The 14,271-nt window shown below is 40.2% G+C and overlaps 1 pseudogene; it reads left to right on the forward strand.

Annotated features, from left to right (window-relative positions):
- The window catches only part of OFD1P6Y (OFD1 pseudogene 6 Y-linked), a 64,714-nt pseudogene that overhangs the window by 41,226 nt on the left and 9,217 nt on the right, over window positions 1-14,271 (forward strand).

Consider the following 14,271-nt stretch of genomic DNA (forward strand, 5'->3'; position numbering starts at 1 on the left):
GGCTGTTGAGGAAATGTAGTGAGCTAATTGACATGCCTAGGTCATAGCAGGTGGTCAACACTATTATTTTCTACACGCAGCCTGTTCACTCTTTCCATCAGCAACAGGAAAAAATTCTGTCATTACATTTTTGTCTTACAGATTAAAACAAAATACGGGGCATTTTTCACATGCCATTGCTTCTTTACTTTTGTCTTCATCGTGTGCTTGCTGTTGGAAGTTAGAACATCAGGTACTTACAAAATATTTTGTATATAAAATTTATTTTTGCAACTTTGACATATGTGAGAACTTTGTAGACTTTCATACTCAAATATGAGCTATAGTATATTAAGAAAATGGAGGCACTTCACATGTTCAGATTTTATTTTATTTTCTCTCTTACAAGGTAGTGTTATTCTGTCACCCAGGCTAGAGTGTACTGGCATGATCTCAGCTCACTGAAACCTCCACATCCTGGCTTCAAGCGATTCTTGTGTCTCATTCTCCCAAGTAGCTTGGATTACAGTCGTGTGTCACGACGCCAGGTAATTTTTGTACTCCCCCCAACCCTGCCTGGAGATGAAGTTTCATTGTGTCACCTAGGCTGGAGTGTAATGGCATGGTCTCAGCTCACTGCAAACTCTGCCTTTTGGTTTCAAGTGATTCTCCTGATTCAGCCTCTCAAGTAGCTGAGATCACAGGTGCCTGAGGCCATGCCCAGGTAATTTTTGTATTTTTAGTAGAGATGGAATTTCACCATGTTGTTGTCCAAGATGCCCTCGAATTTCTGACCTCAAGTGATTTGCATGCCTCAGCCTCTCAAAGTGCAGGATTTACAGGCACGAGCCACCAGGCATGGCTATCTTTTCAGTAGAGATGGGGCTTTGCCATGTTGCCCAGGCTCATCTCAAACTGCTGAGCTCAGCCAATTCTCCCACCTCAGACTCTGAAATCACTTGGATTACAGGTGTTGACCACCATGCCTGGCCATTTTTACCTTACCTTTTCATATTCAAAAAATATATATTGCTATAATGTGTGATTGTTGCTGGTTTCTTGGTTGACTCTGAAAAATGGGGTGATAATCTTAGAAGGACTTGATTCATGGGATATGTTCTATAAGTTTCCTCTGTGTCAACTCTGGGGCAGAAGATAATTTTTGTTAGCGTAGTTATTGCAGACATTCAGACATCTCTTTAGTGACCTTAATTAAATTTTGACGCTATGCCTAAAGGAGCATACCAGATTTTCATTTTGCAGCACTGTAAAGTCATTATTCAATTGTAAATATTCCTTTTTAAATTCCAGGTTGAGTTAGAGTGTGTCAAAACCCAGTCTTGCCAATAACAAAACAAAACCTTATGCTGAATGAAAAGGCTAAAAGGATGAGTAATTATTCACTACTTAAAAGAGAGTAGAAATGAAAACTTGCATGTCCTAAACCATATATCTTTCTTCCTGATTTCCATGTTTTAGTAATTTATATTCAGGCAGTATTATAAAACTATGCTTTGTACTTGTAAGGGGAAAGTTAAATTTGAAGGATTTATGATCCTTGGATTAAACTCTGCAAACATGCCTGTAGGTGGTTTCAAGGTATCCCTTGCCCTCTGCTTGCTGATTGGGTTTGGCCGGTGAGGACTACAGACTCCACATACACTGGCCGAAGACTGGCCATTGTACCTCACAGCCAAGCGAGGTCATGGTGCCTGTGATGACCTCTTCCCAGTGTTCTGCACCACCTCTCTCCCTCCAGCGCTGAGAATTGCACCCTCCTCTGATTCTCCAGGCACAAGGAGTGCTAATACAGTGGCCCTGTTACTATCTCAGTGAGCTTTGCCATCATTTGTGGGCATGCTGCAAAAGTCACCCTTTATTAAAGCATCCTTAGATGACTTTGACTGTGGGAACCATCTGCTTTCTGCCTGGATCCCAACTGCTGCTGACAGATGCACAGATTATGTTGAATCTTGGGGATGTCATCAACAGGGAGATCAGATAGAGAGCTCCTTCTGTGCATGGTAGAGGAGAGAAACAACCTTTTAGGTTAATTTGAGGATTTGAAAAGGGTCTTTTACATGGAGTAGGACTCCAAGAGTAATCACGTTTACATTAAAATGCACCAAATTCTTTTGTTCTGAAATGTGGGTGTCAGGATTACGCTGAGCTCATTAAATAGAATTAATATTATATTTATTGCATGAGTACAAAGAAAAGAAACAACAATGTAAAACCCCTTTAAATGTTTTTGTTAAATGAAATAAGAAAACTTAAGGTAGATAATGACTAGGATTTCTTTTGAACTTCTTAGGTCTAGATCAGCTGGCTCATGAAATTGTGGTATTTCAGAAAGAACTGCAGAAAGCAGAAAATGCTATCATAGCTGAGCATGAGGAGTTCAAGAACCACAGGCCAGCTCTGCAATACAACTGCAACATGCAGTGAGTATTGCTCCTTGCCGGTCCCACTATGATACCAGTACACTTCATCAATATGTAAACTTGGCCCAAGTCACACCTGTGCAAATCAGATTTATTTTTACATCAAACATTACTCCCCCAAATATAACAAAGGTACTGTTTGTCATCTCAGAAAATTCTCTAGTGATAATATGATCTTATATTCATAATAGTAATAACATGGAGAAGAAAGCAAACACACCTAAACGTAAAATTTTCAGAGTGCCTGATTGTATCCACTGTTTTCCCTTGATTCTCACCCTGAGGATTTCAAACATTCACTGTGTCTTCTGTCCACATGCTCTAGAATTTTTTGATATGACCGAAAATGATGATGAAACCTGTGAAACACGCCTCATTTGTGTTCTGTTTGTCATTTTAAAAATAGGGACCCTGTTGTTTACTGGCATAAATCTTCCCAAATAAAGATTACAAAAGGATGAGAAAACTTTTCCTTTTGAAGCAAGCTGTGATTTGTTTTAAAATAATTTATTTTCCTACTCTGAATCTTGTCATATTGTGCATTCTGCCTGGCTGAAGGCCCAGATACTAGATTACGAAGCTTCCATGACAAAGTTAACTATTCATGTGGCTGATTTAAAATTGCAACTGAAGCAAACTCAGACGGGTTAGAGACATTTTAAACCCATGAATATGTTTTCTTTCTGTAAAGCTTCTGATGCTTGTGAAAATGTAATGATCCCAATTTATTGAACATTAAGTAATTATTTTGTTAGAGGAAAAGCCACAGAAATATGTGTCATCTTAGAAGTAAAACTCCCTATCCAGTTTGGTAATACCATCTGGACCATCAACAAAAGTGACTTGTTTCATAGGTGCCTCATGGCTCAGGAGAACGTCATGTCCCTAATGGGAAAGCTGTGGTGGTGATATAGAAGTCTCCAAGTTTATCTTAGAATTTTGTTTTCTGTTTGTTACCCCAATGTTAACACCAGTTCAGTAGTTTTACAGATTCCTTCATAGACAGATGTGCACTCATAGGAGGAGAAGGGTTATTTAGCAAAGAGAACGTTGCCCTCAGAATCAGAGAACTGTTCTTCTTTTGGACCCCAGTTTTGAAGTTAGTTGTTTGATCTTGGACATGTTAACTTAACTTCCTTGGGCCTCTGTTTCCTCATTTGCAAGGGGAAATTTATGCCTATTGAGCCATAATGAAAATGATGACATGAGGTGGGTTTCAATGCAGTGTCTGGGACATAAGAAAATACTCAATAAATGGTGATTTGCTATGATTTTATTATTGTGTCTTCACTGGGGATACATCTCTGCCACTTCCTACTTCATAAGAAGGATGTTGAAGCTTAGATGCTTTCTTCTTCAGTTGCTTTCAAGCTCAAAGAAAGTGTGTATGTGTTACCAGTTCAACTGTATTCTCACACTTATTCTGAGCCTTCCTTGTTCCTATTTGCAATCTTTCCTCATAAGTCCCTTGCTCTCTTCTGCAAGAGCTTGACTGATTCTTAACTCTTTACTCATTTCTACTCATTTCTGTACTTCATTTTTTTGTCAGTTCTGTCTGTGAAACTTCTCACAGCTGAAACCACAGTCTCATGTTAAAAGCAGTTGAATGAGAATACAACGTTTGCATGCATGTGCACTGCTGAGGGCAGGCTTCTTTCTAATAGCATCGTAGGAAGGCATTGCAGGAGAGTGAGATGCATGTACTGGCTTTGCCTTAGGGAAGTCCAGTAGCTATTGGACCTGCTAAATGTGTAACTCAGCCTCAGTAAACTTTAGATCCCATCTATGAAATGGGAGCTGTGAGAGTTCCCTGAACACAGTGTTGTTGTGGAGGCAGATTCTTACCTCCTTGCCTGAAACTCATTCCATATGCTGTGGATTTCATAGCATAGGAAATCCACAGCATGCAAGTTCTGAAGCGCCTGCTGTAGTGAAATGCATTAATTATTTTCCAGTCAACTGTATGAATATTCATGCTGGGATAAATAAGGATACTAAATGGGTTCACATCAGTTCAGGTCAAACTTTTCATTTTGTTTTATTTTTTTGATTTTTGAGATGGAGTCTCATTCTTTCACCCAGGCTGGAGTGCAACGGTGCTATCTTGGCTCACTGAAAGCTCTGCCTCCTGGGTTCATGCCATTCTCCTGCCTCAGCCTCCCAAGAAGCTGGGACCACAAGTGCCTGCCACCATGCCTGGTTAATGTTTTGTATTTTTAGTAGAAGACAGGGTTTCACTGTGTTTGCCAGGATGGTCTCGACCTCCTGACCTTGCGATCCATCCACCTTGGCCTCCCAAAGTGCTGGGATTACAGGCATGAGCCATCACGCCCGGCCAGGTCAAACTTTTCAACCAAATGAGTTCAAGTCTGGCTACGCTTTGCCACCACATGAGTTATGAATACATTTTTGGTTTTCAGAGCTTTTGTGATGTGCCAATTGTTCATAATGGATTCTGAAATTATACCAGGTTACAAAAGACATATGAAGCTGTAGTTGGTACAATAAGCCCTCAATAAGTGTTAGTCGTTGTTACTACCATGGCTTCAGAAACTGTTTAATGTGCAAGTTTGTCCTTATTATTGCTCTCTTCAATTTTTCAAAAAAAAAAAAAAAATGATATTCTCAAGTATATGAATTTTCTTTTCTTCCTTGTCCACTGACATCTGAAATTACCTTTTTGTACTCTGCAGACGTAGAGAATAAAGTATACTCCAATCCAAAACAGTCTCTGAACAATCATTCTGTCAGTGGATTAATAAGTGGCAATATGGTACCCTGCAATGATGTTATACATCAGGCTTTCTTGAACAATTCTTTTAGACAGAAAAGAGTTCTAGCAGGTATGGTTACATCAAGGATCCCAAATTATCCAAATGGAGGTGTAGAAGGTAGTCCTTCCAGTTCTGACCTTGAGTTTGTAGTTAATACTAAGCAAGGGTCAAAGAGCTTAAGCAAGAGTCAAAGAGCTTAAGCAAGAGGCCAGACACTTGGAAGAGCCTTTCAGAAGTTGCCATCAGAGAGTCATTAACATGACTGCCAAAAGCCCACTACCAGCAAAGAGCTCACCATCTCTGCACTTGCTGAAAGCTTTCAAAAACATTACTTCCAGTTCTCCAGAAAGACATATATTTGCAGAGGACAGAGTTGTCTCTGAGCAACCTCAAGTGCAAACACTTAACGAATAAAGGAATGGCACCTTGGAAGCACTCACAGGTAGTGCAGCCTCCAGGCTACACAGGCACACTTCCTCCAGACAACGCTAATCCACACCGTTTCCAAAAGCAAAAAGAAACCTTAAAAGAGAAATGTATCTGGAAGTTTAGCCACCTGGACAAAGCCTTGTGTGCTGCTCTGGAGACGAATAGCTACCCTCCCCTCCCCCTACCCATGATACATTGTTGCTGTGAGGGTCAGCGGGATAGACTGGCTACATACAGTGTTTTCTTAACACACAGAGGTGTTTCAATAGTAATAATTGCCTTTCCTTTGCTACCTGTTGCTTTCACGCATTTTATTATTGCCACTGCAATTAACTTAGGTGCTTGAATCATTAGTTTTGTGGATCTTATGCATCGTTATTTGCTATCTGCAAGGATAACAATTTATTTTCAAACTAATAGAGCTCTTTAGAAACCTGCTGGTATCTTCATGCAATTGGTAATATTCTTGCCTTGGTTCCTTCTGAACCTTAGGCCTGGGCAGATCACATGGTGCTTCCCCCAGGCCTTGTTCTGACAGAATGCCCCAGCAATCACTCACTGAATCAAGGCACAACCTCTCCATCCCTACAGACCAGAAGTTGTGGTAAGCACAACTGCCTGATTGACTAGCTTCAGCTGAATCACGTTACTTACTCTGTCAGCCTTCACTTATTTTGTTCGTTTTTTTTTTTTTTTAGATTAATTTTGCAGACCATTTGGCAGTATAGAAGTTAGAATCAGATTGCAAAATGATGTGTCATCTTTGAGAATCATCTAAATTATGAGGAGAAAAAAAGGATTTTTTTAGCAAATAAGTGGGTAAGGCATATTTGCTAAACTGGACATATAGAACATACAATACGGTATTAATAAGCATCTTCATAGTTCTGTGAATAGACTCAGCTCATTAAGATCAAACACAAATGTACACAATCTGTGAAAGTAAACAAATGGAGGTTATTTCTCCAGTTGGAAGTTGGAACAATTATACACATCAAGAAACAGTCATTTAAAAATATTTTGGCATTGAAATATAAGCAGATAAGTTTTTTGTTTTTGTTTTTTGGTGAGTGAGGGCAGAGTCTCACTCTGTCACCCAGGCTGGAATGCAGTGGAATGACCTTCACTCCCTGAAACCTCTGCCTCTCAAGTTCAAGTGTTTCCCCTGCCTCAGCCTCCCAAGTAGTCTGGATTACTGGTGTGGGCCACCACACTCAGTGAATTTTGGTATATTTAGTTGAAATGGGGCTTCACTGTGTTGTCCAGGCTTGTCTCAAACTCCTGACCTCAGTTAATCTGCCCACCTCTGCCTCCTAAAATGCTGAGATTACAGGTATGAGCCACAGTGCCTGGGCTGGGTAAGGTTCTCACTTCCATATCATTGCAATAAATTCAAACGTGGCAGTGGGATCTGGAGCATGATTATTGAAACAATAGAAGTGAATGTTTTTAGGAACTAGACCAGTGGGTTACCCAGGCTGTGATTTGAGTCATGAGAAGACTTCTAACCATACCTGAGCCCTACAGCACAGAGAACTGACTGTATACTTGCAGGCTGGAGCTTCAGTGTCTGCATGTTGAATATGTTTCTCTTCCAAAAGTGCCAGTGTGGCAAGACGAGGGTTAAATAGAAAAGGAAAAAAAAAATGTCTTCTGCTTAGCCAGCTGATTCCAAGGAAGGTTATAAGACAACACTGTTTCAAAAGAGTTATAAGATAACACTGTTTCAAAAGAGAAGGCCAAAGGAATGGGTTGCAAACAGCCAACTCCAGAGCAAAGTTGAAAAGAAAAATGGATACCAATGCTCTCTCTCCTTCTCTGGACCATTAATTTTGACTATGTTTCCGAATGCTTGTATTTAGTACAATTAAAAGTTACTCTTTTTTGTTTTTCCTTTTTTTGTTTTTTGTTTTTTTGTTAGTTTTTTAACAGCTGCAAGGCCACAAGCTATGCAAGGCTACAAGTTACGGTAAGTCAAATCTTATGCTATAAATTATGTAACCTATCATTGTTTAAGTGGCTTCTTTACTTCTGCTTTTGTAATTTTGCTTATAAATACCCCACTCAGTCTTTGTTCAATGATCAGCCTTTTGGGATATCAGTCCACTGAGCCAGGGCACCTAATTAAATCTTCCTTTTTCCCCATATAGGTCTCTTTGGTCCTCTGCTTCTTGCAACATTATTGACCAGCCAGCTAGGAGAGGAGATGACAGGTTTACTGTCTCCTTTGCCTCTAGGAGCTTAAGCCCTGGGTCTCAGGAGTCCTGAGACCCAGCAGCACCATCGGGAGAAATTCAGCCTGGTTGGGAGATCAGCCCATTTGTGACCCAGTGCCCCTACCCAGCAATGCAATGGTATCTAATGGGCTACAGGATGATTGCAGGAACAGCTCACTTCAGAAACCACAGTAAGGTATTGGGACCCAAGGGATGACCTGTCCCATAAGGACAGAAAAGGAGCCTAATCACCTCCTAGGGCATAACTGGTAATCCGACCAAGAAGGGCTGCAGACAACGAGAGTGTCTCACTAATTCAGAAGAAACTTACAACCCAACCAACAGAGCATGTGAGAGTAGCCTGCTAAGTCAGCTCAGAAGGAAACTGGACGTAGGGAAAGTGGCTCACCACCCCAACTGGGAACATGGGAACTGGTAGCAGGATGGTGTGGGGAAGTGTGTGAATGGAGAGGCCTAACTAGGCTCATCAGCCACGAAGTGAGGAACCACAAGTCTCTTAGTGAAGACTGTACTCCAAGCCAAATGTGTGGCTGACTAAGACTAGTTGTGATCCGCATATGGCTAACGGAAGCTACCTCACAACTACAGCACTTGTGGTGGGCTTAAGAAACTCTCCAAATCTAAGTGATATCTAAAAACCCCCATAATAGGACTAGGTCTAGCTGGTGCAAAACAAAAGTAAAAAGTGAGCACGAGTGTACTGCATCATAACTGGGAGAAAATGGGAAGAGAGTCATCAAAACATATACCATTCAAATATATGCTAAAAAAAAAAAATGAGAAAGGTTTTACGGGGAACTATAAAATTAAGCTAACCCCCCAAAAGTGAAAAACTTTCTGTAACCTAAAATAGCCCTCTTTTGGCGTTAAATAGATGACCCAAAAAGACTACCCAGAGAAACAACTGGAAATGAGTTTGAGGTAATGACAGGGGTCCAAGGACAGCCAGGGCACCCAGGCCAATTTTCTTATATTTACTCATAATTACATATAATACAAACAGGAACAGCATGTACCGAGCCCTGTTTAGCTGCCTACTGATAAACACTTATAGCGCTAGCTGAACCAAAAGTGAAATAAAAGCAGCTTCATCAGCAAACACTCAGTTAAAGGAAAAGTCCTCAGGACAGCAAGAAAAACCAGTTTTACAAAAGCCAGAAGAGGAAAATAAATTTCTCCTGCATATATCACAGCCTACCTCCCTTTGCTGAAGCCAACAGTCCCCCAGGAGCCTGGTTCCATTGCCAGCATTCCCCAAGTTTCACCACAGAGAGAAGAATCGGAGACTTGAGAGGCCAGGGAAGGAAGTCACAATAGTCAACCAGGCTGTCTCAAATCTGGTCATCCTCAAGCTATGCAACTGCCTCTCAGGGAAATATGAGGACTCATCTACTATAATGACCAGCGCCACATCCAGGTTGTGGGGGGCAAGAAGCCTTCCTCTCTCAGCCCTTTTCAACCACCAATCTACTAAATTTAAACCATCACACTCCCTCCTACAGGGAAAAGCCCAAAGCTCTCATAAACCTATTGCAGTCCATCTTTCTATCACACAATCCAACCTGGCTAAATTGCAGGCAACTTCTCTTAATGTTGTTTAATACAAAGGAATGCCAGGGGATAACTCAGGCAGCCCTTCATTGGCTAGAAGCCAATGCATGAGCAAACACAGAAAATGCTCAGGCATATACTCAGGATCAGTTTCCAGAAGCAGGCCTCAACTAAGACCCAGATAACGCAAGCCAGCATCAGTGCCTGCAGAGGTACTGGGAGGCACATTTGCCAGAGACAAAAGCTTGTGGAAAAAAAAGAAATTAATATAAAAAAATTCAAAATGCTTCAGAAAGATAAAAAACCAAGCCAGTTTTATTTAAACAGCTTTGTAAAACAATCTGGTTTTAAACCCCATTTGACACTGAGGCTACTGAAAATTAGCACATGGTAAACACAGCATTTATAAGACAGGCCAAGGGTGACATCCAGCAAAAGCTGCAAATGCTACAGGGTTTTGCAGGCATGAATACATCCCAGTTTATAGGAATGGCTGTCAAAATATATGTTAACTATTACCAGGAAGTAAAAAAAAAAAAAAAAAAAAAAAAAAAAAAAATGTAAATCACAGGCTAAAAAAGAGAGGCCAATCTCTTAGCAGCACTTTCATTAAAAAAAAAAAAAAAAAAAAAAAAAAGTGACCAGGTATATACAAGGACATGGACTTGCATGTGCATGTGAAAGAGGTCAAGTTAGTCCAAAAAGCCAGTTGAGGCTAAAGAGAGAACAATATGTGCGATGGGAAAGAAAAATATTGAAAGAATAAATGTCCAGAAGGGAGTAAAAAATATAATAAGGACTGTTGTATAAAAAAGTCACCAGCTAAAGGCTGCCTCAATGTGGTAAAACCAAATACTAATCTAAATAGGCTGGCTTGCACTAAAGGATATAGCAACTAGGAGAGACCAGGCTCCTTCTTACTACACTTCCACGAGCCCATGGTTACATTAAAAGTTGAAGGCCAGCTGACGGACTTTATGGTAATCACCAGGGGTACACATTCAATAGTCACTCAACCCATAGGGCCGTTATCCAAAAGCAATAAAATTATTATAAAAGCCATGGGAGTCACAGAGAAAAAGCTGTTCTGTCAGTCAAGGAGGTGTGTTATAAAAGGCCAAGAAATCCAACATGAATTCCTATACCTCCTGAATTGTCCAGTTCCTTTGCTAAGAAAAAAATTTACTCCAAAAACTGCAAGCACAAATTGCTTTTCATGTGCAAAAAGTATAACGTTAAATCTGACTCACCCAAAAACCCTGGTGTTAACATTTATCATCCTGCAGGCTAAGAAATGGAAACTTTATACAAAGCAAGTGCAAGCAGCAGATTAGACATGCAGGTGCAATGAAAAAACCATTCTCTCAGTTACTTAATACCACTCCTGGAGTATGGGCTAAAGACACCCCACCTGGGTTAGCTGTAAATCATGCACAGGTGGTAGTCCTGTTAAAACCAAAAGAAACTCTGACTTATGTTTGACAGTACCCAGTCCCCCGAGAGGCTATTCAAGGTGTCTGTAAACATTTAAACCCACTTTACCAACATGAAATCTTTGTTTGATGTCAATTGCCCTAGAACACTCCACTTTGGCCAATATGAAAACCATTGTCAGGACCAGGGTCTAATAAGTATAGACCAGTGTACGACCTGTGTGCCACAAACCGGGCCACAGTGACCATCCATCCAGTGGTACCAAATGCATGTATTTTAATAAATCTCATTCCAGCATTGCTACCTGATTTACAGTCCTAAACTTAAAGAATGTTTTCTGTTATATCTGCTTAGCCCAAGTTAATCAACCTATATTTGCCTTTCAATCAAACAAAAAAGCTATGCAACTCACCTGGACCAGGCTCTCACAAGTTCAAAGACTCACCCCCAATCTTTAGGGAAGCACTGACCTTAAAGCCTACAACCTGCCAAAGGATAACTGTGCCTTGTTGCAGTATGTAGATGATCTTTCTTTAGTAGCACCAATCCAGGAGGGCTGTTATCAAGAAACCCAAGACCTCCTCTATCTCCTATGAAAAACAGGTTACAAATTATCTCAACAAATGGCCCAATTTTTCATAAAAATTTCAAATATATAGGTTTCATTGTAAGCCACGTGGAATGCCACCTTGGCCATAAGTGGAAGCAGGCCATTTGTACACTCCCAACCCCAACCACTAGGCATTAAAGAAAACAAATTCTTAGAAGCAGAAAAATTCCACCATATCTAAATCCCAAATTTCTCACTGATGGCTAAGCCATCATATAAAATTATGAAGGGGGAAAATAAAGAAACCCTCCTCTGGAAAAGGATCATACAGCAAAAAGCATTTAAACAAATTAAAAAAAAAAAAAAAGCCTTAACTCAGGCCCCAGCGTTTGGACTGCCAAACATAACTAAGCCTTTCTTTCTATACATCCATAAGTGAAAAGAAATGGCTTCAGTGTTCTTAACCCAAATTATAAAATTATAGCATTGTCCAGCGGCATACTTAACTAAACAATTAGACTCTGTGGCACTAGGATGGCCTCCTTGCCTTAAGGCATTAGCCACCACTGCCTTGCTAACACAAGAGGCTAACAAACTTAATTTGAGACAGCAGCTAACCGTCCAGGTGCCACACTCAGTCGAAACATCAATGAGCCAAAGAAGGTCCCACTGGTTATCAATTCTGAGAATAATGCAGTACCAAGGGCTTCTGTACGAAAACCCTTACATTACTTAAAAAGCAGTAAACCCCTTAAGCCCAACCACGCTGCTCCTAGTTGAACCTGAAGCTCCCCTCCATAACTGTGTCTAAAAAGTGGATGAAATATTTTCTGGAAAAGGAGACCTTACAGATCAACCCCTCAAAAACTCAGATGTTTAATACTTCATAAATTAAAGTAGTTTTCAGCTAGAAAAATATCCAACAAGCAGGGTATGCAGTGGTAACATTAAACTCAATGGTAGAAGCTCAATCTCTGCCTACTGGAACATGAGCCCAAAAGGCAAAATCAATAGCCCTACCAAGTGCCCTTTTGCTACCAAAAGACAAAAAGCTGAATATTTATACAGACTCTAAATATACTTTTACAACACTACATGTTCATAGAAATGTGTATAAAAAGAAAATCTCTTAACAGCTGGAGGCAAAAAAATAAAGTACTAAGAAAAAATTCTACAGCTCTTAACAGCTGTATAGGCTCCAGAAAAAGTAGTAATAATGCATTATTGGGGGCACCAAAATGCAGGGACATCAAAAGCCAAAGGAAATAGGAAAGTTAACAGGAAGGCAAAACAGGAAGAAATAATTATGCCATAATTTTTAAAAGAACCTTAAATATGCCTCTCATCCCAGAACCTCCACTCCAAAATATCCCAAGTTACACTCCAAATGAGAGGGCCTCGTTTATCAAAAAAACTAGAAAATATATTAACAAAAATTGATAAAAGTTGTATAACAGTAAATTAGCCATTGCGGAAATAATTTTTCAAGCAAATTATACAAAAAACTCATATGTGAAAAATGGCACTAAAAACTTACTGAAATGCCACTTCTGCATGCCAGAACTCACTGCCATCATTCAAGGTGTTTGTGAACAAACTTAACTTATATCTGGGGACCCTGCCCCCAATATTTCAACATAGGTTCTTTTTATATTTCTAAGTGTTGGCCAGCCTGAGAAATAAAGAGAAAGAGTACAAAGAGAGGAATTTTACAGCTGGCCCACTGGGGATAACATCACATACAGGTAGGACCCTGATGCCCACCTGAGCCACAAAACCAGCAGGTTTTTCTAAGGACTTCACAAGGGGAGGCGGGTGTACAAACAGAGAGTAGGTCCCAAAGATCACACTCTTCAAAAAGCAATAGGAGAACAAAGATCACATTCTTCTGAGGCCAATAAAGACCACAAGGCAAAGGGCAAAGCAAGATTACAAGGCAAAAGGAAAAATTAGAATTACTGATGAGGGTCTATGTTCAGCTGTGCACTTATTGTCTTGATAAACATCTTAAACAACAGAAAACAGGGTTTAAGAGCAGAGAAATGGTCTGACCTCAAATTCACCAGGGTGGGGTTTTTCCCCACCCTAGTGAGCCTGAGGTTGCTGCAGGAGACCAGGGCGTATTTCAGTCCTCATCTCAACCGCATGAGACAGACACTCCCAGAGTGGCCATTTATAGACCTCCCCCCAGGAATGCAATTATTTTCCCAGAGGATCAATTATCAATATTCCTTGCTAGTAAAAGAATTTAGTGATATCTGTCATACCTGCACATTTATAGTCCATTTATAGGCTCTCTGCAAGAAGAAAAATATGGCTCTTTTTGCCCAAGCCCACAGGCAGTCAGTCTTTATGGTTGTCTTCCCTTGTTCTCTAAAACTGCTGTTATTTGGTTCGTTTTCAAGGTGCACTGATTTCATCGTTTTCAAACACATATGTTACAATCAATTTATACAGTAGTGGTCCTGAGGTGACATGCATTCTCAGCTTACGAAGAAAACAGGATTAAGAGACTAAAGTAAGACAGCTGTAAGGAATTATAAGAGTACTATTAGGGAACTGATAAATGTCGATGAAATCTTCACAATTTATGTTCTTCTGTCGCAGCTCCAGCCAGTCCCTCCATTCAGGGTCCCTGAATTCCCGAAACAAACTTATGCTCAAAACAACCCAGGGCAAGGGCCTACCCAGCCCCCAGGGATCTAAAAAATAAAAGCTATGCCTTGTAAAAACTTACTTGTAAACTTCACAAAACTGTCCCATGTCAGGTGCTATTGTTTTATACTAGCACTTATTTACACCTTTTCAACATAGGTTAAGGTTTTCCAATGAGGACTGAAAAGGCAAAAAAGTAGTTAAAATACTGTTTAAAA

The sequence above is a fragment of the Homo sapiens genome, chromosome Y, assembly GCF_000001405.40.
Source record: "Homo sapiens chromosome Y, GRCh38.p14 Primary Assembly".
NCBI classification, from domain to species: Eukaryota; Metazoa; Chordata; class Mammalia; order Primates; family Hominidae; genus Homo; species Homo sapiens.